This window comes from Homo sapiens, chromosome 6 (genome assembly GCF_000001405.40).
Source record: "Homo sapiens chromosome 6, GRCh38.p14 Primary Assembly".
NCBI classification, from domain to species: domain Eukaryota; kingdom Metazoa; phylum Chordata; class Mammalia; order Primates; family Hominidae; genus Homo; species Homo sapiens.
The window spans coordinates 62,873,838-62,898,497 of NC_000006.12; positions in this window are offsets into that span (position 1 = coordinate 62,873,838).

Consider the following 24,660-nt stretch of genomic DNA (forward strand, 5'->3'; position numbering starts at 1 on the left):
TCTTAATTGCCAGTAAAGAAGATGATATTACTTTCAATATCATAGAGGGTGTAAACCACCCTGTGATATTGCTTCTAATATCCAGGGGTGGAGAAAATAATATTACTCCCAATATTGCAGGGGCTGTTACTCCTCCTATATTGTTTCTGTTATCTGGTGTGGGGGGAGCAAAATGATATTAGTATCAATATCGCAGAGGGTGTACGCTTTCCCTGTGATAGTCTTTCTAATACCCAGGAGAGGAGAGGATGATATTACTCCCAATATCAGAGGGCGTGTACACACACCCCTGTGATATTGTTTTTAATATCCAGGTTGAAATAAAATATTACTTGTAATATCAAACGAGGTGTACACACCCTCTGTGATATTGTTTCTAATATAGAGGGTGGTAAATGATGACGTTACCCCCAATATCACAGGGAATTTACACCACCCCCGGGATACTGTTTCTAATGGGAAACAAGGAAAAGGATTATATTAATTTTAATATAGCAGAAGGTGTACACCTTCCCAGTGATTTTTAAAAATATTTAGTGGAGGAAGTGTTGATATTACTTCCAATATCCCAGGGGGTGTACACTTCCCCTCTGATATATATTTTTTTAATGTCCAAAGGAGTAGAGGATGATATTACTCTCAATATCGCAGATGGTGTACAAGCCCCCTGTGATATTGTTCTTAATATTTAAGTTCAGATAAAATGATATTACTTTCAATATTGCAAGGGTTTTACCCACCCTGGTGATATTGTTTCTAATGTCCAGGGGCAGAGAGGATGATGTTACTCCAACTATCACAGAAGGTGTACGACCCCCTGTGATATTGTTTCCAATATGCAAGCGGGGAGAAAATGATATTACTGAAGGGGGTGTACATCCCCTTTGTGATATTGTTCCTAATATCCAGGGGGGAAAGAGGGTGATACTGTTTTTAATATCCCAGGGGATGTACATACCTCCTGCTACATAGCTTCTAATATCCAGGGAGAAAGAAGACAATATTACTCCAAATATAGCAGGGGAGTGTAAACTACCCCTGTGATATTGTTCCTAGTATCCAGGGAGAGAGAGGATGATATCATTCCCAATAACGGGTGTACCCTTTGATATTGTTCCTAATATTCAGGTGTGGAATAAATAATATCACTCCGAATAACGCAGGGGGTGTACACCCTCTTTGTGATATTGTTCGTAATATCCAGGGTGGGGTGGAAAAGAATGGTATTACTTCCAATATCTCAAGGAGTGTACACTCCCACTGTGATATTGTTCCTAATATTCAGAAGGGAAGAGGATGATATTACTCCCAATATCGCAGGGGGTGTACACATTTTCTGAGATATTGTTCCTAATATTCAGAGGGGGAGAGGATGATCTTACTCCCAATATCGCGGGTGAGCTACACCTTCCCTGTAATATTGTTTTTAATATCCAGTGGAGAAGAGGACGATATTAATCCCAATAATGCAGGGGGGTTACACACCCACTGTGATATTGTTTTTAAAATCCAGTTAATAAGCGAATGATATTACTTTCAATATCACAGCGGGTGTACACCCCTCTATGATATTGTTCCTAACATCTAGTGGCAGAGAGGATAATATGACTACCAATATTGGAGGAGCTGTGCAGCGCCCCCCTGCCCGTCATATTGATTCTAATATCCAAGGAGGGAGACAATAATATTACTCTCAATATCACAGAAAGTGTACATTCTTCTTGTGGTATTTTCCCAAATATCATTAAAAGCAGAAAATAATATTATTCCCAATATCGCAGGGTGCGTACACTCCCCTATGATATTGTATTTAATATCCAGTTTGGGAGATGACGATATTGCTTGCAATATCGCAACGGGTGTACACCCTGTGATATTGTTCTTAATACAGAGAAGAGAAGAGGACGATATTACTTTCAATATCACAGGGTGTTCACACCCCCCGTGATATTGTTCCTAATACAAAGGGAGAAAAAATGATATTACTTTCAATGTCGCAGGGGGTGTACACCACTTCTGTGATGATATTCCTAATATCCAAGGAGAAAGAGGAAGATTTTACTACCTAGATCGTAGAGGGTGTACAGTTCTTCAGTAATATTGTTCCTAATATCCAAAGGTTAAGAAGCTGCTATTGCTCCCAATATCACAGAAGTGAACACCCCCACCCTGTGATATTGTTGGTAATATCCAGGAAGGGAAAGGATGATATTAATCCAATATCACAGAGGGTGTGAACGTCCCCTTTGATATTGTTCTTAATTAAAACGAAAAGAGCGGGTGATTTTACTCCCAATATCATAGGTAGTGTACATCCTTCCTGGGATATAGGTCCTAGTATCTAGAAGAAGAGATGATGATATTACTCTCAATACTGCAGGGGGTGTACGCCCACTTTGTGATATTGTTCCTAATATCAAGGGGGCAATAGGATAATATTACTCGCAATATCGCAGGGGATGTACACGCCTCCTGTTATATTGTTCCTAATACACAGGGAAGATAAGGATGATATTACTGTCAATATCACAGAGAGTTTACATGCCCCCTGTGATATTGTTCCTAATATCAAAATGGGGAGAGGACGATATTACTGCCAATATCTCAGGGTGTGTAAACACCCCTTGTGAGATTGTTTCTAATATCTACTGGAAGATAGGATGATATAACCCCCAATATTGCAGGAGGTGTAAACCCTCCTTTGATATACTTCTTAATATCCAGGCGGTAAGAGGAGGATATTACTCACAATACTGCAGGGGGTGTACACCCCCCTTTGTGATATTGTTTTTAATATCCAGAAGGAGAGAGTATAATATTACTACTCTCAATATCGCAGGGGATGTACACTCACTCTGTGAAATTATTCCTAATATTAATGGGAGACGAGGATGATATTATTCCCAATATCGCAGGAAGTGTAGACCCCTCCCATGATATTATTCCTAATATTTAGGAGGGAAGAGGATGATATTACTTTCAATGTCGCATTGGGTGTACAATCCCACTGTAATATTATTTCAAATTTCGCGGCGAGAGAGAATGATATTACTTCCAATATCGCAGCATGTGTACAACTTTCCTATGATATTGTTTTTAATATCCAGGAGGAAAGAGGATGATATGACTCCCCATATCGCAGGAGGTATACAACCCCCTCTGTAATTTGGTTCCTAATATCCAGATGGGGAGAGGTTTATACTTCTCCCAATATCACAGAAGGTTTACAAACCTTGTTTAATATTTTTCCTAATTTCCAGTGAAAAAGAGGATGATATTACTTTTAATATCACAGTGAATGTACACTCCTCTGTGATATTGTTTCTAATACAGGAGAAGAGAAGACTATATTACTCTCAATATCGCACGGCGGGTACACTCCCCTGTAATTTTGTTTTTAATATCCAGGTTGAGAGAGGATATTACCTGCAATATAGCACGGTGTGTACACCCCCCCCCCGTGATATTAATCTCAATAGACAGGAGGTGAGGATGATATTATTCTCAATATCACAGAGAGTTGCACACACCCCTGTGATATTGTTTTTAATATAAAGAGAGGAAGAGAATAATATTACTTTCAATATCACAGAAGGTGTACATTCCCCTGTGATATTTTTCCTAATATCCAGGTAAGGAGAGGATGATACTACTCCAAATATCTCAGCGGGTGTACACTTCCTCAGTGATATTGTTCCTAATACAGGGGAGGGAGAATAAAATAATATGACTCCCAATATCACATGGGGTGTACACCCTCCCTGTGATATTGTTACTAATATTAAAGAGGGGAGAGGATGATATTACTCCCAATATCCCAGAGATCATACACACCTTCTTTGAAATTTTTTCATATCCAGGGGAAGAGAGGATGATATTACTCTCAGTAACGCAGGGAGTGTACAAACGCCCTGTGATATTGTTCCTAATAATTTTGGGGGGGAGAAAGTGATATTACTTCCAATATCGCAGGGGGTGTACAACCTTCCCGGTTATATTGTTCCCAATATCCATGGGTGGAGAGGATGTTATTACTCTCACTATTGTAGAGGGTGTACACCCCCCCATGATACTGTTTCTAATATCCAGGCGGGAAAAAAAATACTACTCCCAATATTGCAGGGGGTGTACATCCCCCTGTGATATTGTTCCTAATTTCCAAAGGGAAAATGGATGATATTACTTTCAATATCACAGGACTTTTACACGTCCCTGTGATATAGCTCCTAATATCCAGGTGGAGAAAGAATGATGTTACTCTCAATACAGCAGAGTATGTTTAACTCCGCTGTGATATTGTTCTTAATATCCAGGTAGAAAGAGGATGATAATATTCTTAATATCGCAGGGGGTGTACAACCTTCCTATGATGTTTTTCCTAATATCCAGAAAGGGAATAAATGATATCACTCCCAATATCGCAGGGGCTGGACACTCCCCCTGTGATATTGTTTCTAATATTCAGGGGAAAAAGATGATATTACTTCCAATGTCACAGGGTGTGTATGCTCCCACTGTGATATTGTTCCTAATATCCAGATTAGAAGAGGATAATATTGCTCCTAATATCGCAGGGGGTGTATGCCATTTCTGTGATATTGTTTTTAATATTCAGAGGGGGAGAGGATAATATTACTTCCAATTTCGCAGGGGGTGTACACCCCACTGTGATATTATTCATAATATCCAGGGGGGAAGAAGATGATACTGCTTTCAATATTGCAGATAGTGTACAGCCTCCCTGTGATATTGTTCCTAATATCCAGGTGGGGAGAGGATGACATTACTCCCATTATCACAGAAAGTGTACACGTCCCCTGTTATATTATTCCTAACATTCAAGAGGAGAGACGATGATATTACTCCCAATATCAAGGGGGGTGGTCACCACCCCTGTAATATTTTGTTAAATATCCAGAAGGGAGAAGATGTTATTACTCCCAATATGGCAAAGGGTGTACACCCTCTCAGTAATATTGTTCCTAACTTCCAGGGGGAGAGAGGATATTACTACTTTCAATGTCGCAAAAGGAGTACAACCTTTTTGTGATACTGTCCCTAATATCCAGGAAGGGACAAAATGATATTACTACAAATATTATAGAGGGTGTCAAACCCCCCTGTGATATTGTTCCTAATATCCAGGGAAAGAGATAATGATATTACTTTCAATATCACAGGGCGGGCATACAGCTCCCTGTGATATTGTTCCTAATATCTAGAGGAAGGGAGGATGATATTACTCCTGATATTGCAGGGGGTGAACACCCTCCCTCTGACATTTTTTCCTTATATCCAGGAAGGAAGAGGATGATATTACTCTAATATGCAGTGGAAGAGAGGATGATATAACTCTCAATATTGCAGGAGGTGTAAACCCTCCTGTGATATAGTTCTTACTATCCAGGCGGTAAGAGGATATTACTCCCAATGTTGGAGGGGTTGTACACCTCCCCTTGTGATATTGTTTATAATATCCAAAGGGAGAGAGCATACTATCACTCTCAATATCGCAGGAGGTGTAAATCCAGTCTGTGATATTACTTCTAATATTCAGGGGGGAAGAGGATGATATTACTCTTAATATGATATTACCCTCAATATCTCAATATTCACCCCTCTTGTGATATTGTTTCTTATATCCAGTTGGAAAGAGGATGATATTTCTATCAATGTCACAGGGGGTTACATGCCACCTGTGATATTGTTTCTAATATCAAGGGGGGGTGGAGATTATGTTAACCCCAATATCGCAGAGTGTGTACACCCCTCCTGTGATATTGTTTCTAATATCCTGTGAAAGAAAGAATGATATCACTTGCAATATTCCATCGGTGTAAACCCCCTGTGGTATTGTTCCTAGTATCCAGGGGACGAGAGGATGATATTACTCCCAATATCACAGGGGGTGTATATCCCCCTTTTGTGATATAGTTTCTAATATCCACGGGTGGATATGACAATATTACTGTTAATATCGCAGGGGGTGTATATTCACTCTGTGATATTTTTCCTAATATTCAGAGGGAAAGAGGATGATATTACTACCAATATTGCGGTGGTTGTACAAAGCCCCTGTAATATTTTTCCTAATATCCTGGAGGGGAAATGATAACATTATTCTCGATGTTGCAAGGGGTATGCACCCCTCTTTTGATTTTGTTCTTTATATCCAGGGAGAGGGAAAATCATATTACTCCCTATATAGCAGAAGGTGTACAACATTCCTGTAATATTGTTTTTAATATCCCAGGAAGGAGAAAATAATATTACTTTTAATAAAGCAAGTGGTTTACACACCCCCTGTGATATTGTTCTTAATGTCCACTGGAGAGGATATTACTTTTAATATCACAGACGGTGTACACCACTTTGTGATATTTTTCCTAATATCCAGGAGTGGAAAGGATAATATTCCTTCTAATATCACAGGCGCTGTTCACACCCCGTGTGATATTGTTTCTACTTTCCAGAATGGGGTAAGTAATATTACTCTCAATATCGCAGGGAGTGTACACTCCCCCTGTGATATTGTTCCTAATATTCAAGAGATAAGAGGATGATATTACTCCCAATATTGCAGGGCGTGTACACTCCCCTGTGATATGGTTTATAATAACCAGGTTGGGAGAGGATGGTATTACTTGCAATATCGCATGGGGAGTACAAAACCCCTTTTGATATTTTTTCCTAATATACAAAGGCGAGAGGATAATATGATTCCAAATATCGAAGCAGTGTACACTCCCCCTTTGATATTTTTCATAATATTTAGGTGGAGAGAGGATGATATTACTTCCAATATCCCAGGGGGTGTACACCTCCCTTTGATATTTTTCTTAATATCCGGGGGTGGATAGGATGATATTAATCTCAATATCCCAAGGAGGGAAAAGCCTCCTCTGTGATATTATTCTTAATATTTCGTTTGGGAGAAAATGATATTACTCCCAATATCGAAGGGGATCTACACCCTCCCCCGGTGATATTGTTCCTAATATCCAAGGGAAGAGAGGATGATATCACTTTCACTATCTCAGATGGTGTACAACCCTCCCGTGATATTGTTTCTAATATCCAAGCGGGGAGAATATGATACTACTCCTAATATCAAAGGGGGTGTACAACCCCTTTGTAATATTGTTTCTAATATCCTGGGCGAAAAAGGATGATATTACTTTCAATAACGCAGTGGTTTTACACCCCCCGTGATATAGCTTCTATGATTTAGGGGGAAAGAAGATGATATTACCCCCAATATAGCAGGGGGTGTAATCTACCCCTGTGATATTGTTCCTAGTATCCAGCAGGGGAGAGGATGATATCACTCCCAATATCGCAGGGTACGTACAACCTTCCTGTGATATTGTTTTTAATATCCGGGGGGAAAAATGATATCACTTCCAAAATCGCAGGGGACGTACACCCCCTTTGTGATACTGTTCTTAATATCCAGGAATAAAGAGGATGGTATTATTTCCAATATCGCAGGTGGTGTACACTCCTACTGTGATATTGTTCTTAATATCCAGAAGGGAAGAGGATGATATTGCTCCCATTATAGTAAGGGGTGTACACCCTTTCTCTGATATTGTTCCTAATATTCAGGGGGGAAGCAGATAACCTTACTCCCAATATCGCAGAAGGTGTACACACCCCCTGTGATATTGTTCCTAATATCCAGTAAAAGAAAGGATGATATTACTTTCAATATCACAGGGGAAGTACTTTCCCCCGTGATACTCTTTTAATATCCAGGGACACAGAAGATAATATGACTCCCAATATCGGAAGAGCTGTATACCTTTTCCTGTCATATTGTTTCTAATATCCAGGGTGGAAGAGATAATAATATTGCTCTCAATATTGCAGAAGTGTACACTCTTCCTGTGATATTATTCCTAATATCAAAAAGGAGAGAGGATGATATTATTCCCAATATCGCAGGGCATGTACACTTCCCTGTGATATTGTTTTTAATATCCAGGTTGGGAGATGATGATATTGCCTGCAATATCGCATGGGGTGTACACCCCCCCGTGATATTGTTCCTAATATACAGTGAGGGAAAGAATGATATTACTCCCAGTATCGCAGGGAGGGTCCCCTCCACCCGTGAGAATGTTCCTAATATAAAGGGAGCTAGAGTATGATATTACTTTCAATATCGTAGAGGGTGTACACCCCTTCTGTGATATTGTTCCTAATATCCAGGGGGGAGAAGATAATATTTCTCCCAATATCGTAGGTGGTGTACACCCCTTAGGTGATATTGCTCCTAATATCCTATGGTTAAGTGGCTGCTATTACTACCAACATCGCAGAAGTGAACATCCCCCTGTGATATTGTTGCTAACATCCAGGAAGGGAAAAAATGATATCACTCCAGTATCCCAGAGGGTGTTAACTCCTTCTGTGATATTGTTTCTAATATCCAGGGAAGGAGCGGATGATATTACTCCCAATATCGCAGGGAGTGTTCTCCCCCCCATGATATTTTTCCTAATATCTAGAAGAAGAGAGGATGATATTACTCCCAATATTGAAGTGAGTGTACACCCGCTTGGTGATACTGTTCCTAATATCAAGGGTGGAAGAGGATGATATTTCTCACAATATCGCAAGGGGTGTACACTCCTCCTGAAATATTGTTTCTAATATTCAGGGGAGAAGAGGATAATGTTACTGTCAATATCACAGAGGGTTTACACGCCCCCTGTGATATTGTTCCTAATATCAAGGATGGGAGAGGATGATATTACTCCCAATATCGTATGGAGTGTACACCCTTCCCGCCCCAGGAGGTTGTTTCTAGTATCCAGTGGAAGAGAGAATGATACAACTCCCAATATCGCAGGAGGTGTAAACCCTCCTGTCATATTGTTATTAATATCCAGGCAGTAAGAGGATGATATTACTCCCAATATCGTAGGGGGTGTACACTCCCCTTTGTGATATTGTTTCTAATATCTATGGGGGGAAGAGGATAATATTACTCTCAATATCGCAGAAGGTGTACACCCACCCTCTGATATTAGTCCTGATACTCAGGGAGGAAGAGGATGATATTACTTTCAATATTGCAGGAAATGTAGACCCCTCCCCTGTGATATTGTTTTTCATATCCAGGAGGGGAGATAATATTATTACTGTCAATATTGGAGGGGGTGTACACCCCCAGTGTGATATTTTTCCAAACATTAGTGAGGGAGAGAGGATATTGGGAGTAATATCCCAATATCGCAGCAGGTGTACAACTTTCCTGTGATATTGTTTTTAATATCGGGGGGCGAGAGGGTGATATGACTCCCAACATCACAAGTGGTGTATATCCCCCAATAATATTGTTCCTAATACCCAGACGGAGAGAGGATGATATTACTCCCAATATCGCAGAAGGTTTACACACCCGTTGTGATATTGTTCCTAATTTTCAGTGGAGAGAATGATATTACTTTCAATATCACAGGGGCTGTACACCCCTCTGTGATATTCCTCCTAATATCCAGGAGGGGAGAGGATAATGTTGCCCCCAGGCAAGCAGAGGCTGTACCCCAGCTTCTTGTGATATTATTTCTAATATTTTGGGGGGAAATATGACATTATTCTCAATATCGCAGGAGGTGTACACTCCCCCTGTGATATTGTTTCTAATATTTAGGAGAAGAGAGGATGATATTACTCCCAATATCGCACAGCGTGTACACTCTCCTCTGATATTGTTTTTATTATCCAGGTTGAGAGAGGATGATATTACCTGCAATATCACACGGGGTGTGCAAACCCCCTGTGATATTGTTCTCAATATGTAGGCGAAAGAGGGTGATATTATTCCTAATATCGTGGGGAGTTTACACCCCCCTGTGATATCGTTTTTATTATGAAGGGAGGAAAGTATGATATTACTTTCAATATCACAGAAAATTTACACCCTTTTTGATATTTTTCCTAATACCCAGAGGAAGAGAGAATGATATTATTTTCAATATCGCAGGGGTTGTATACTCTCTCTGTGGCATTGTTCCTAACACACGGGGGGCGGGGAGAAGATGATATGACTCCTAATGTTGCATGAAATTGAGCTATAACTTTCAATCAGATGGCATCTTACAGTTGAAGATGTTTCACCATTACTGTTGGGCAGGCAACAATCTCATGAATTTTTCATTACTAGAGCAGCTCACATAGTAGATACTTCAATAACAAATCCTGCCTACTATGTTCCAATTTGTAAAACTACACAATCCGTGATAATAAAGTAATCTATTAACCTTTAGAAACAAAATGATAGTGAGAAAGAGATGAGAAATGTAGTGATTACGAATGCTTATGAACAGTACTGTAACAGAAATCAAAAGTAGGCTAACTCTAGGTAATTGCAAAGCCTGCTAGCTCTGCACAATTGTAAAATCTGTTTTAGAGCACACACTGCCAAGTTTAATATTTTATGGAACTTTTAAAAAAACTCCTGCATCACCAATACATTTGATAACAGAACAGACCATCTGGTGTGAAAAAATCACAATCATTGTGAGTTGAAAAAATAATTTAGCCTCTGAATGTTAACAATTTAGCATCACGTTAAACAATTTAGTTGCTTATTTTCCTTTTTATGTATGCACAAAAGTGTATAATGAAATTTGTGTTAAACTAAGCTTAAAAGATCTCCTTAAAAATATAAAAATTTCTAAGCAATAACAAAACATGTTTCATTGTTTAACTGAAGGGTGTTTATTCTTTGAAAGAATGATGCTTCATACAGTCTAGTCTGGCTTAAATTTTAAAACATATGGTATTCAATTTGCTGTCTTCAATTTAAGTGAAAAGTTTGTTGTTGTTGTTTGCCTATAGTTTTCACCACTTTTCCCTTTTAAGCGCCCTGTTTTATATAGTTTTAACTATATTGCAACCAATTAAATTTATTAGGGTACATTCCAATCGCTTTTCTTATGTGGCTCTGCTTTCTCTCTCCTAAAATATTTTAAAGTGTAGTTCAAGAGATCTAAATAATTCTAGCTTTATTTACTTTATTGCCCTCATGGCTCTTTTGCAAACAAACACAAATATCTAATATGCTGTGTCATACTTTACCTTCATTTTTTTCCTTCCTGACACTTGGTTCCTATTTCAAACAAATATTCTCAATAGAAGTGACTAAAGATTAACTTATTCTGAAATGCAATTTGAAAACACAGAAAAGTTAAAAAGGTCAAATATGCACATTCTAGAATTTCTCATGATAAGAAATGATAATTCAAGAAGTATCACCATGGTCAGAAAAAAAAAACGTAATGTAGGTAATGATACTTGAGACAATCAGAAATCAAGACCCATTCAAGCTTTTTTTGAGCATAGAGTGGAATAATACAAGTAGCATTTTAGGAAGATTGTTTTTTAAGTACAATCCCTAATAAATTGAACAGACAACTTAAAATAATAAATCCAATTAGAAAATATTTTTATATTCTAGGGATAAAGTAATCAGATACCCATATTAGGAGAGTGACATCACGACAACCATAGCAACTGAAATATCAGGTATTATTTATTGAGCATTCACCATGTACCAGCCACACAGTGCCAGGCACTTTTAAAAGTGGTGTTAATGAATCATCTTATTTTATATTAAATAATCCTATGATGCAAGTACTATTATTCTTTTTAATTTATAAGTGAGGAAACAGTCTTAGAGAGATTAGTAACCTGACGTGCTTCTCCATGGGAAAGAAGAGATAAGGCGTCATAGAAACTAAAGTAACCTGTGGGTAATTGGAATTGGGTAAGCAGCTTAACATGGAATCAAATTATCAGGAGATTAGAAATCCTGAGCTACTAGATTAAAAATAAAAATTAAATCCCTGAGTTTGAGAGAAAAAAAAAAGAAAAAGAGAGCCTCTGGGTAGGAAATGGAGAAGGCATGAGGAAGGATCATAAGAAGCCAAAAAGGAGACTGAAAAGGCATTCAAACTAGGTGGGTGTGAACAAGCCCATTGGAAACTGAAAGGCAGAGAGTTTTAACATTGTAGATGTAATTACTAATATCATAAATAGAAAGAAAAGAAAGATAAAGACAGAAGAATAGTAGTTCAGAGAGGAGTTCTTCATTACACAAATGTGTCTAATTTTTACATTGGTGAGCATATTCCCATTAAAGAAAACTCGCCTTCAGGAAGACCAGAATTTTTTATGTTCTAAGTCAAGCCAAAGATAGAAAGAAGAAAACTTAGAAACAGATGAAAAATAAGAGAAGGAGGGAATAAAACAGTAAAAGAAGGAATGAAAGCATGTGCAAAAGCAGAAAAGGGAGGGAGGGAAGAAGGAAGGGAGAAAGGGGGAGACGGCCCAAAGAAGGATTATTTGTTTTTCTATCCTATATACATTTCTGTTGATTAAAGTTTTGTCACATATTTTATGTATATATCATCAAAAGATTAATATCAGCATTAAGTAATATATTTAATAATTTATAGTATAATAAAATTATGAGTCTCTATTCAGTATGGAGTTTGGACTAACAATGCTTTTATTAAAGCAACAATTTAATTTAAAAAACTAACCATTTTCTTCATTTAATGGAAAAAAGAGCTTAAAAGCATAAGAGGTTTATTTGTCTTCCTTGCAAAATGAGTGAAGAGTTTAATTTATATTTCCTTAAATTATAGTGAAACACACAGTACGCTTAGTGTGCTGGTCTAGTAAGTTTTACTCTAGGCTGATCATAAACCTTGTTAGTCGTTCTCAACTGAGCACAGTTCAATATGCAGCAATATTTAACTATAAAAGTTGATTTGGTAAACAAACAAACCAAAAAAACACAATATCCAACGGAGAGAGAGAAAGACTAGTCAATATAGAGTAAATTAACATCCAAAGGGTGTCTGGGTACTTAGGCAAGTAAAATTTCAAAAGAAATATCCAAAATGTGTAAATAAATACAAATTCAGAAACAAATTATGAAGGAAGAATAACTATATGAATTACTTCTCTATACAATATATGAGAAACTTAATAGACTGATAGTTTACAAAAACAGAAAAATAAGAAAGTGAATTATTTGTGTGAAAAATATAAGGCAATGCTGGCTTTTATTTGGAAGAGGCACTACTGACAGTGATTAGGACTGGAGTAGCCGGCGTGACTAGAAGAGTCTTTTATAACCCAACAGGCCATTCTGCTCTGTGTACTTAGGAAAAATGTAGCAGGAGAAGGAATTATTATTGTCCTTAGAGTTTTTGTGCCAAGATTCATTATATCTTGCACCGCCCCCCTCTGTACCACTTTCTGCCCAGGTTTCTCAAGATACCTTCTGTTGAATGTGCTGTAGATTATTCTTAAAGTCTTTGTCTTTCTTGTTGTTGTTATACTGCGATAGATTCTTCCAGAACAGAAACAGCAGTGTGGATATCTCTTTAACATGAAGGATGATCCCAACATAACTTCTGTAATCTGAAGGCTTTTTGGATATCCTGCTCAGTAGCATTCGACTCTTCTCCTTTTTAAAGGTAAGGTATCTGCCTAGTCAGCTCCTTAGAGTCCTTCTTCTAACTGGTCACCAGAGCCTGATTGAGACACTTGTGTTTTATGGGACTAGTCTTATCTTGACCTTGAGAAAGAGACAGCTGATGGTAAGGGATTTATCATGATTGAATCTGAGGACATGAGGTATTTATTACATTCCAAAGATAATTAATATATTCAATGGTACATTTCAAATTATTTTCACAGAACCACTAAGTGTAGTCAATCTTTGGCTTTGAAGGAGATGACTAGTTCAGACAAATTTATAAGATTGTAGTAAAGGAAAATCTATGTTAGATATCCCTTAAAATGTCTCAGTGTTGACTTAGCTGTTTTGCAAATAAATCTATGCTATTTTAATACATTTTAGGTCATTTGAGATTTCTTGTGTAAGCCTAAACTATCTCCATTTAATGTCTCATTTCTACATGTATAGAACAGAATAAAGACTTGCATGAAAACCCTTCAACATTTGAAGACAGCTACATTTCCTTGGAATCTTCTTTCTGACAGACTTATTCCTTCCATTTCCCTCCCATACCATATCCTGAAGGATTCCTCATTATCTCTTTCATGGCTTTCAGCATCCTGACTATTCCTATCTAGACCAGTGCATCTCAATTTTGGTCGCACATTAGAATTACCTTCTTAAAAATCCCAGAGCCCAGGCCCCACCCTGAATTAGCTAAACAAAAATCTCTGGGGAGACAATTGTGAACAAAAGTTCCTTCAAGGGAAATGTGGACAAAAGACACTTTATTCCAGTGAACAGTTTACACACTAGGGAGACACAGCTTTCACATAAAATGAAGATGCATTTCAGAGAAACAAAGGAGAATCTGGATTTTATAGCAAATGTGTCCATAAAGGTTCCCAATCAAGTCTGTTTATGCAAATGAAGGATTCAAACTTGCTTAGTTCTAATTGGTAAACATAGCTAAGCTCTGATTGGATGGAGCAGGTAAGCTCTGATTGATTCCAAAATCAGAAGTCTCTGTCAGATGTTTCTTTGAAACAGCTAGTGGAGGTGAGAGAGGTCCCATCCCAGCTATAGCCACGTGGTTCTATTTTAACTCAGCCACAGGGAGTCCATTTTGTCTATTGGCTGGGACATATAGGGCGTTCTTTGACAGAATCAAGGCATCAGTATTTTAAAATCACAAATAATTCTAATGTGCAGCCAAGGTTGAAACTGCTGTTCTAGATGTGCCTTAGTTTACAAATTCTGCTTTAAAAATCTGGCATTCTAAATTGCTATGGCAATGTATTTTAGGACTTTCTACTCCAGAAACCTTAGCATGCATTTAGAAATAAAAATTACATTTCTTTTAGTAGAATTCAAGTAAGAAACAAATGTTTGATAAAAAGGAATCCTTCCAAATCTTGCTTTTTAAATTGTAATCTTCCTCACCATTCTTTATCCAACTTTTTTTACCCCTATATCCACTTTCTCTGGGGGATCTCATCTGCTCCTGTGAATTCAGGTACCTTCTATCAACAAACTTCTGAAATCCAAACTCTCATATCCAATCTATATATCGTGTTAAAGGGTAACTTTCAAAAAAGAGTAAGATTGTGACTCTCAAACAGATAAAAATTGTATTACCTTGTTTGCACATTGATGTAAAGAAATAACTGTGACTAGGCAATTTAAAGAGACAAGAGGTTTAATTGGTTCATAGTTCCACAGGCTGTACAGGAAGCATGGCTAGGGAGGCCTCAGGAAACTTACAATCACGGCCGAAAGCAAAGGGGAAACGGCTGGAGCCGTGGGAAGAGAGAGAAGAGGGAGGTACTCCACACTTTTAAACAACCAGATCTCATGCGAACTCACTCACAATCATAAGAATAGCAAGAGTGAAATCTGCCCTCATGATCCAATCACCTCCCACCAGGCCCCTCCTCCAACATTTGGGATTACAATTTGACATAAGATTTGGGCGGGGACACAATCCAAACCATATAAAAATGAACCTGCGTTAAAGAGTTTTTACTCATGAGGGAACCAGAGGGAAGCAAATTTATATAGCATAAAGTTATATTGATATCAATGTGCAAATAGAGGTTAAACTGTTTTTCCATGAGGATGGGGAAGCTGGAGGTGGGAAGGCATTTGAATTTCTACCAGATATGACAGAATCTGCCTGTTAATCATTTACCTATAATTTACAGAGTTGCAAAATAACTAAAAGACAATGTACAGGGCTAAAATTTTATAGCTTAAAGGGTGTGCACTATGTAGACAATGCATAGTATTTCATGATTACACACATTTTAAATATCAGAATATTAAATTTTGAGGAAGTGAACTCATTATTTTCTCACTCTTCCTTGAATCCTTTACTAAAACTCCCTTCGAAAACATTGTGTTATTTTCCATTATATCACCAGTGCACAACATAGTACTTGCTACATAGTAAGACTTCAAAAATGTGGAATAGATAAATAAATATAAAATGCAGTCTAAAATCACTAACATATACCTAATCTATAGCCATATTTCACCATTCTTCTCCTAGTTTGTTCTTGTTCAAGTAAAATATATAAAATGAACAACCATTTACACTCCCTCAAAATTAATAATAACTGCTTGTTTGAATAAGCAAATGGCTTTTCTATGACCAATTAAAAGGAAAGCTGATAGTTTTATACAGAACAGGTATTGAAGAGTAGGGTTTGACTGGAAGGAGTTTAAGTTTCAAATTCTCTTAGTAGAATTTTCTACATAGTAGAAAATTTCTAATACATAGTAGAATTACATAGTAGAATTTTCTAACATGTCAGAATTGAGCATCTTACAGATGCTGAATAAGGCCCTGTTTTTTTTGATTGATTGAATTTCGAAACTTTCAAGATAATGTTAATTCCAGTCCTACAGTTACAGCAACATTACAAAGATTAAGAAATCAAAGGGTTATCAGCCTGATGATTTACAGAGAACCTTGTAACCAATTTGTCATTTAAAAGAGACAGGCTTTTCAGCATTTAAGAGATTAACAATTTGAAGCATACATTCACTTGATCTAAGCCATAGACCCCTGCATTCCTACTTATTATCTTAAAACGGATCTTTTAAGCATTGCAATTATCCATACTTTACACTGTGGATATCTGCTGCTACTTGTGTTACCTTCGTAGTGATAGTCTTTTATTAAAACTACAGACATAATCTCTATTTTAAACAACTGTAATAACGAATGTTTTAGTTAGGTTATTCAAAAAAAAGCCACATAATCACATGTATTTTCTTATAGATACAAAAATAGAAAACAAATGCAAGCTAAATATCAACTTTTTAAGCACAGGGAATATTTTTAATTCTAGGAGTTATAAATACTAACATTTACGTCTTTATGGTAAGGAAGCATTTAATTCCTATAATAAAGAAATGAATTGTAATAAAAGTAGCACAAACTTAACATATTAATGAAATCAGAGGAAACTAGGGTCTGATGAATAGGCAGAAAGAATACAGTTTATTTTTCTTATGTAGCCTATCTCAACAAAATCCCTAGATTATTTTTATTCATTTGAATTAAAATTTATAACTTTTACTGTAACAAGGACTTAAATCCAAAATACAAGCTACAATTAAGAAAACTATTTTTTAAATATTTGGTAGATAATGAATTCATTCCTGCTGACTCCAACTGAATTTTAGTGAATAATTTGAATAAAATAATACATTCTATATTTTTTGATTTCATAAACAGGATTTTGTAACCTAATATCTGCCCAAGTTATTGTGGAAAATATATTGGAAATATAACATTGCATTTTCACTCAAAAGTTTAACTTTTTTACTTACAAATAAATCATCTGAAGCCAAATATTTGTCAGAAACATTTGTAACTCAGAAAGGGTTTAAATTTTTACATTAAATGTGGGTAGTGCCCCCTGGTGGAAATATGTCAAAAAAAGCTTTGATAATGTTTATACTTTCTCTCATCTAAAATCACAGATTCAAAGATTTGAGAACATTATCAAAGTAATAAACATGTTTTAATTATTAAAGTTAATTAAATAATGTTTCATTAATTAGTGTTTAATTAATTAATTAGTATTTTATGTAGGCTGGTATAAAACAGTGTCTTTGAATGTTTGTGCAATAACACCCATACCTCAATGACACACCAGTTTGAATTCATTTACATTATATTTCGCACTTTAAAATTAAATTATTAAAGGAATCCTTCTGTTGTTGAAATATTACCTGATCACGTTCCAATTATTTGAGTATTCTATATACTTTCAGTATTGTGAAGGCAAAAATGTTGAATGACAACTCAGTTGCTGTACATTCAATGTTCAGTAAAATGTGTGGCATAGGGAAGAACTCAATGGAAATTTATTGTGATTTATTCTACAAATTTCAGCAAGATCCTTAAAGATAGGATTTTTGCATGCAGATGCTACCTTGGAAATTGGCATCTATATATTAAATACTGCATAAATATTTCTGGTGATTAACTCACTAATATTAAGATATTTGCTCTTATGCCTTGCTGGACATAAAACAATACTAGCGAACATTCTATAGTCTTGAGCAATATTCAAAATATTCAATATTCATATGAAGTACATAGAAACTTACCCTTTTAAGACCTTGTCAAAATCTGAATAAATGGCATGAGACACAATTTAAAGGATTAATGGTAAAATGTTTGATCTTCTGGTTCAAAGGAGTTAAATTATTCTGAAGCGATATCACTAAGTTATCCCTATAGCAAACTATTTTATTACTTCAAAGATTTATTTATACTTTTCAACAGCTATGAAAGGCATCTGTGACTAAACACCAGAAATTTAAAGTAGGTACTGAGTTAGAACTGTCACCACACTCAATGAAGAATGAGAATTCATGATTGTTAATGTTAAATAACAATCGCTCTTTTTGCTTTTAAATTACAGAATAATGGAAAACCTTCAGGAATTAACTATTTCATTTATCTACCATCATTCCCATAAATTGAACAATTGTTGAAAAATCACTGCATGGAAAATAGGGAATGTTCATTATTTTTTGTCATGTTGTCTGCTATCCTCTATGAGATATTTGCACCAAAATTTAAGGGTTTTTTTTTTTGTCAGAATAGCAGAGTCATAAAAAATGTTTACAAATGTAAAAAGAAATATCCTAAGGTCTTGAGCTTTGACTATAAAATACAAACTAGAAAAAGGTAAATTTTCACATGTGAAGTAACTATTGTGAGGAACAATTACCTGACAGTATTAGTCACAGGTTATTCAAGAAGAAAGTATTTAATAAGCATGTTTGTGCTTCTTTATGATCAACACTTTGAATATGTGTGTATGAGAAAATGTTTATACAGTGTGAATTTAATACCTTATTCTAGCCTTCTGTTCTGATCATACTTATAAGCATTTGAAATTCAATGACAAATTCAGCTATTGTATTTTCAAGTGTTTACTTCATATTCTGTCTAAACAACCATAAAAATAATACAGTGATTTGAGGGCTAAATTATTTGGAGTAACTCAAGAAGTATAGAAAAATGAATATCAATATATCAAAGAGAATATTTAAAAATAAAGCATGCAAGGGTCCTGGGGCTGAAAAACATAAAAATAAAGCAAAAGTTAAACATACTCACTGTATTAGTCCATTTTCACACTGCTATAAAGAAACTACCTGAGAATGGATAATTTATAAACAAAAGAGGTTTAATTGACTCACAGTTCTGCATGGCTGGAGAGGCCTCAGGAAACCTACTATTATGGCAGAAGGCAAAGGGGAAGCAGGCACCTTCTTCACAAGACAGCAGGAGAGAGAGAGAGTACACAGGGGAAAACTGTCACTTTTAAAAACCATCAAATCTCATAAGAACTCCCTCACTATCATGAGAATAGAATAGGGGAAACTGCCCTCATGATCTAATCACCTCCCTCCAGGTCCCTCCCTCAACACGTGGGGATTGCAATTCAAGATGAAATTGGAGGGGGAACACAGAGCCAAACCATATCACTCACAAACTCTCAAATTAATTAAGGTAAATTTTATAATGCACAACTTTCCAAGATCAGGAAAATCTTATTTATATTATAAAAAGATATTACCAAGAAGGCAAAGTAAGAGAAATCAGTCTTCATTCCTACACACACATAAAAACAAATTTAAACAGCTATTTACAAATTAAAATAGCTCAGAGGGCTCAAAGGAGCATGAAAGAATCTGCAGAAACACAATAGGAAAATGAAAAAAGGAAAAGGAAAAGAAGAGAGAAGGAGCATATAGACAGAATTCCTGGTGAAGATTGGCAAACTTGAGATGCCAAGAGAAAGCTAGGAGCAAAGAAGGGCAGAAGCCAGTGACATCTACCACATGCCAAGAACTACCCTAGTCCCAATGGCCTGCTTCTTAGAGGACACTGGCATCTCTTGCCATCGGTTACCAACAGCCATTCCTGCTGGGGAACCTTAGAGAGGGAGACATGGCCCCACACCCGATCCCTACCTAAGAAGTAGCAGCTGTCGAGCCACTTTGGAAAAGAAGCTTTCACCTCTCCTAATTCTATGCATGCCATGACTCTGGAGCTAGAACTGCTCAAAGAGTGCCCACACCCAGACCTAGTCTCTGTTGCTACTCTTAGGCACTGGATCAGCTGACATGGAGAGCTAACTACCACCCTAACCCCTGACCCACGGAAGCTAGCACATGTCTACACTCATAATTATTTTGGAGAGCTTTGTTCATGCTTTGATTTGTTTTTGTATTTTTGTGTGTGTTGTAGAGATTGGAGTCTTGCTGTGTTGCCCAGTCTGTAATGCCAGCAGGCAGACAAGCCCCAATATTGAGGCTTAGCCCAGGAGGCTTCTGGGCTTCACCTAGAAGAAAATTTGAGGGTGAGCTGATGGTGTTAAACAACGATCTTTTATTGACTGGAACTGCTCCTTGTGGAGCATTGCTAACTCACAGGGAGTGTGCTCAGAGCCACTTATGACTGTTGGCAACTGTATTTATGGCCACTTATTTCCACTTTCAATTACATGCAAATTAAAGTGTGGATTAATGCAAATTGAGGGGTGAGTTATTCAGAATTTTCTAGGAAAGAAGCAGTAACTTCTGGGTCATTTCAATGGAAAGAGGCAGTAGCTTCTGGGTCATGGCTATAGTATTTGTAAACTGTCATGGCACTAGTGGGAATGTTTTATGCTAATAACCAATGGGGGCAACTAGGGATCACTTTTGTCTCCATCTGCTGGTTCCTGCCAGCTTCTTCACTTCATCCCATTGGGGCTGGAAAATAAGTTCTGTCCATTTCCTACCCCATCTGGACTTGAACTCCTATGCTCAAGCTGGGGCTATAGGTGCATGGAACCACACTGAGTTTTTTATGTTTTGATGTATAATTCTAGTTAATTATTTCATAGTGGTATAGTATCTCATTTTACTGGTGTTCTACAATTTATTGATTAATTTTCCTGTGGATGACATTTAAGTTGTATCAGTTAGGAAAGGCTAGGTTTTTACTGGAATAGGAAAACAACCCCAAAATACCAGAAAAAAAGTTTTTTTCTTGCTTAGATAGAGTCTACTATAGCTTAAGGAGATGCTCAGCTCCACAGTGTACTCAGAGATCCAAGTGATAAAGGTTTTCTACCTGGAAAATTGTGGCCACTGTGGCAATGGGGAGTGAAACAGGGAAATTATGCTATTCACTTCCATCCCATGTTTGCTGGCTAGAACCAGTCATGTTCAGCTGAGAAAAGTAGGTTCTATAGACTCAAAAAGGAAAAGAGAACCAGGTATTGATAAGCAGTAGTAATATTGATTACTGTTTCTCGTTTTTACTACTGCAAACCCTGTTGATGTCTCATTGTGTCACGTGAAAGAAATTACCTAGGAGTGAAAGTGCTTGGCTTAGGAAATACGGCCTTTTCAGCTTTCTTAAGTAACACATAAATTGCATTTTCAAAGAGTGCTACTGCCCTCCCACCTCGAAAGGATGAGTCCCTGTTTCTCATATTTCCTTCCAATAGTAGGTGCTGTGAGCCCTTTTTCTCCCCATCTGATTGGCATCCATGGTATTTTGTTGTGATTTTAATTCACATCAGTTTGATTGTGGTTAATGTTGAATAACCTTTTGGATTTTGGACACTCAGGGTTTGTATTTTGTGAGTTATCTATTTATGCCCTTTGCTCATTTTTCTATTGTCTTTTCTTATTAATTTTAGAAGCTGTCTACATATAATGATTACATGCATGACAAATATTTCTTCAAGTTTGTGGATTATCTTCTCAGTTTTTATCATGCCTTTAGATGAACAGAAGTTCTTTTTTCACAAATTTAATGCAATCAAATTATCAACATTTTCCTTTATAACTGGTACTGTTTTCTTTAAAAACAACAATAAAATTTACACCAGCATTACAGACATTCACTTCTCTTCTAAAAATAGTAATTTTTTTTCACATTTAGCTTAATTTCCATGTAATTTCTTATGTTATTCCCAAAGTAAATCAATTTTGATATAGATAACTAGTTGCCTAAAGATCATTTATTAAATAATACACTCTTTGAGTATAAGCCAAATGTAAGATGCTGAACATATGAAGGTGTTTTCTTCAATTCTGTCTTTCACTAGTTAATCAATATATCTATCCATGGGCCTTTATACAACTAACAGTAAATCTTGGTATCTAGTAAGACAAGCATCCTTGCTTTTTTCTTTTAGTTAAAAAAATTTGGGGCAGTTTTTGGTTCTTTACTCTTCTTGACAAATGTCAGAATCACCTAACAATGTCTATGGAAAACTCTGTCAGGATTTTGAATAGAGTTCCAATAAATTCTTAAGCTATTTGGGGAAAATTAATCATTTTATGATAATAAGTTTTAAAAATTACCATGGTGTCAGTTCATTTTAAGGACACCTGTTCATTTATTTAGAATTTTGCAAATGTCTAGTAACTAATTAATTTCTCTATTAAATATTTTGTCAGTTTTACACATAGTAGCTTTCATTTCATTATTTTTGTTGTTACAATAAAAGACATAATTTTAAAAATTACATTTTTAATAATTTTGTGACTATGAGAATGAAATTGATTGTTATATATAGATATATAAAATTAATGCCAAAGATGCTGTATTTTCTCATACATTTTTGTATAAAAAATTTTATCACCTATAAATAATGATAATTCTATTCCTTCCTTGTATATTTTATTAATTATTCCTGTGTTACTCTACTTGCTAGGGCATACTGCAATAATACTGAATGTAATCAAGGAAGCAAACATTCTTAACTATTGTCAAATTTTAACAGAATGCTTCTAATATTTTACCAGTAATTATAATACGTATTATGAATGTTTAGCATTTATTCTTTATTATCATTGAACATGTTGAAAGTGTTTCCTTTGTTGAAGATATTCCTTGTTAGCTACAGTTTTTATCAAGAATATGTACTAATTTTATCAAATGTGATTATTTGTGTCTATTGATGTGATCAAACTTTTTTTAACTTTCTTTTTAAATATCCAATATTATCCTTTTATTACTGGGGTTATCTCCACTTTTATTACATGATTATAGTCTGTATTAGAGCTTTTGCATTTATAAGTGAGATTGATCTACATTTTTTTAATTTTTTTTTTTTTTTTTTGATACAGAGTCTTGCTCTGTTGCCAGGCTAGAGTGCAGTGGTGATCTCGGCTCATGGCAACCTCAGCCTCCTGGGTTCAAGCAATTCTCGTGCCTCAGCCTCCCGAGTAGCTGGGACTACAGGCGCCTGCCATCATGCCTGGCTAATTTTTGTATTTTTAGTAGAGGTGGTGTTTCACCATGTTGTGCAGGATGGTCTCGATCTCCTGACCTCGTGATCTGCCCGCCTTGGCCTCCCAAAGTGCTGGTATTACAGGTGTGAGCCACCATGCCTGGAACGTTTTTAAAATTCTTACACTAGATTTGTCTGATTTAGGTCATTGGTTATACGGACTACATGAAAATAGTGGGAAAGTTTTTTCTCCTTTTCTCTTTTCTGAAAGAGTTTCTGTAATATTTCAATTGTTGTACCATAAACATTTAGAGAACATACCTCAAAAACCCAATCTACTACTGTCTAGACATTTAAATATTCTTTGAAAAAGATGAAAGCATTTCTGAAATAAAAAAGCAACTCACAAAATAAAATGTAAGAACATGTATGATGAAACTTCTTTAAAATGAGATTTCTCTATATCTCAGAAAAGGTAAAATAATATTAATAGTACTGATATTTGTGGTAAAATGACCACTTTCATAAATAATTGGTATACATATAAATTGGTACCATCTTATTTATTATAGTTATTGATAGGTTTTTTTAATACACCTAAGAACTTAGAAGAAATATAATTACCATTGTAATGATGACAATTATTACCAATATACTGTCTGTTATCCCCATAATACCTATTCTAGTGTTTTGAATTGAGTAGGATCTCAGATTTGTTTTTCACTAATAAATAAATAATTGTATCTGAATTACTTGTGTGCTAGAATGTCAAAATATGAAAAATGATATTTGTATACCTATGCTTTTCATTGTCACAAATATTTAGATTATAAAATAAACCAAAAGTCAACTTCTGACATTCTCCATGGGTGCTAAGTTATAACATCAACTCAAGTGTAGGTTTTATGGACAATTAGTAATCTGTCCAATAGCCTATGATAACTTTTAACTTTTTTCTCTTTTCCTATGTAAAGTCAAAATGTCCTGTAGTTCATCAAATATCTTTCTGGAGAGCTAATATCATGAATGTTTCCTCAGCTTGCTAAAAATAGTCATTTGACCCTGCTTAAGGAAGCATAGTGCCCAGCCTAAATATCTTGTTACTGAAGATAGAGTGTTATGGTCAATTAGCTTGGCTCAATGCAAAATAAAAATTTATTTGGAGAAGCTTCAGTAAGAAAATTTGAGAAAGAGTTTACCATCACAATTTTTTTCATTTCCCCTGATGAGACAAATCAACTCCATGATGGTGATTTAATGGTGCAATCAGCAGTGTGTCAAACCTGATTGATGTGTCTCTTCAGAGTCTGCCAGGTGACTTCATCATCAAAATTTCAAACAAATTTTCCCTAAAGACCCTCTGACTAACCATACCCAAATAAATTCTTTTAGTCATTGTCTTTT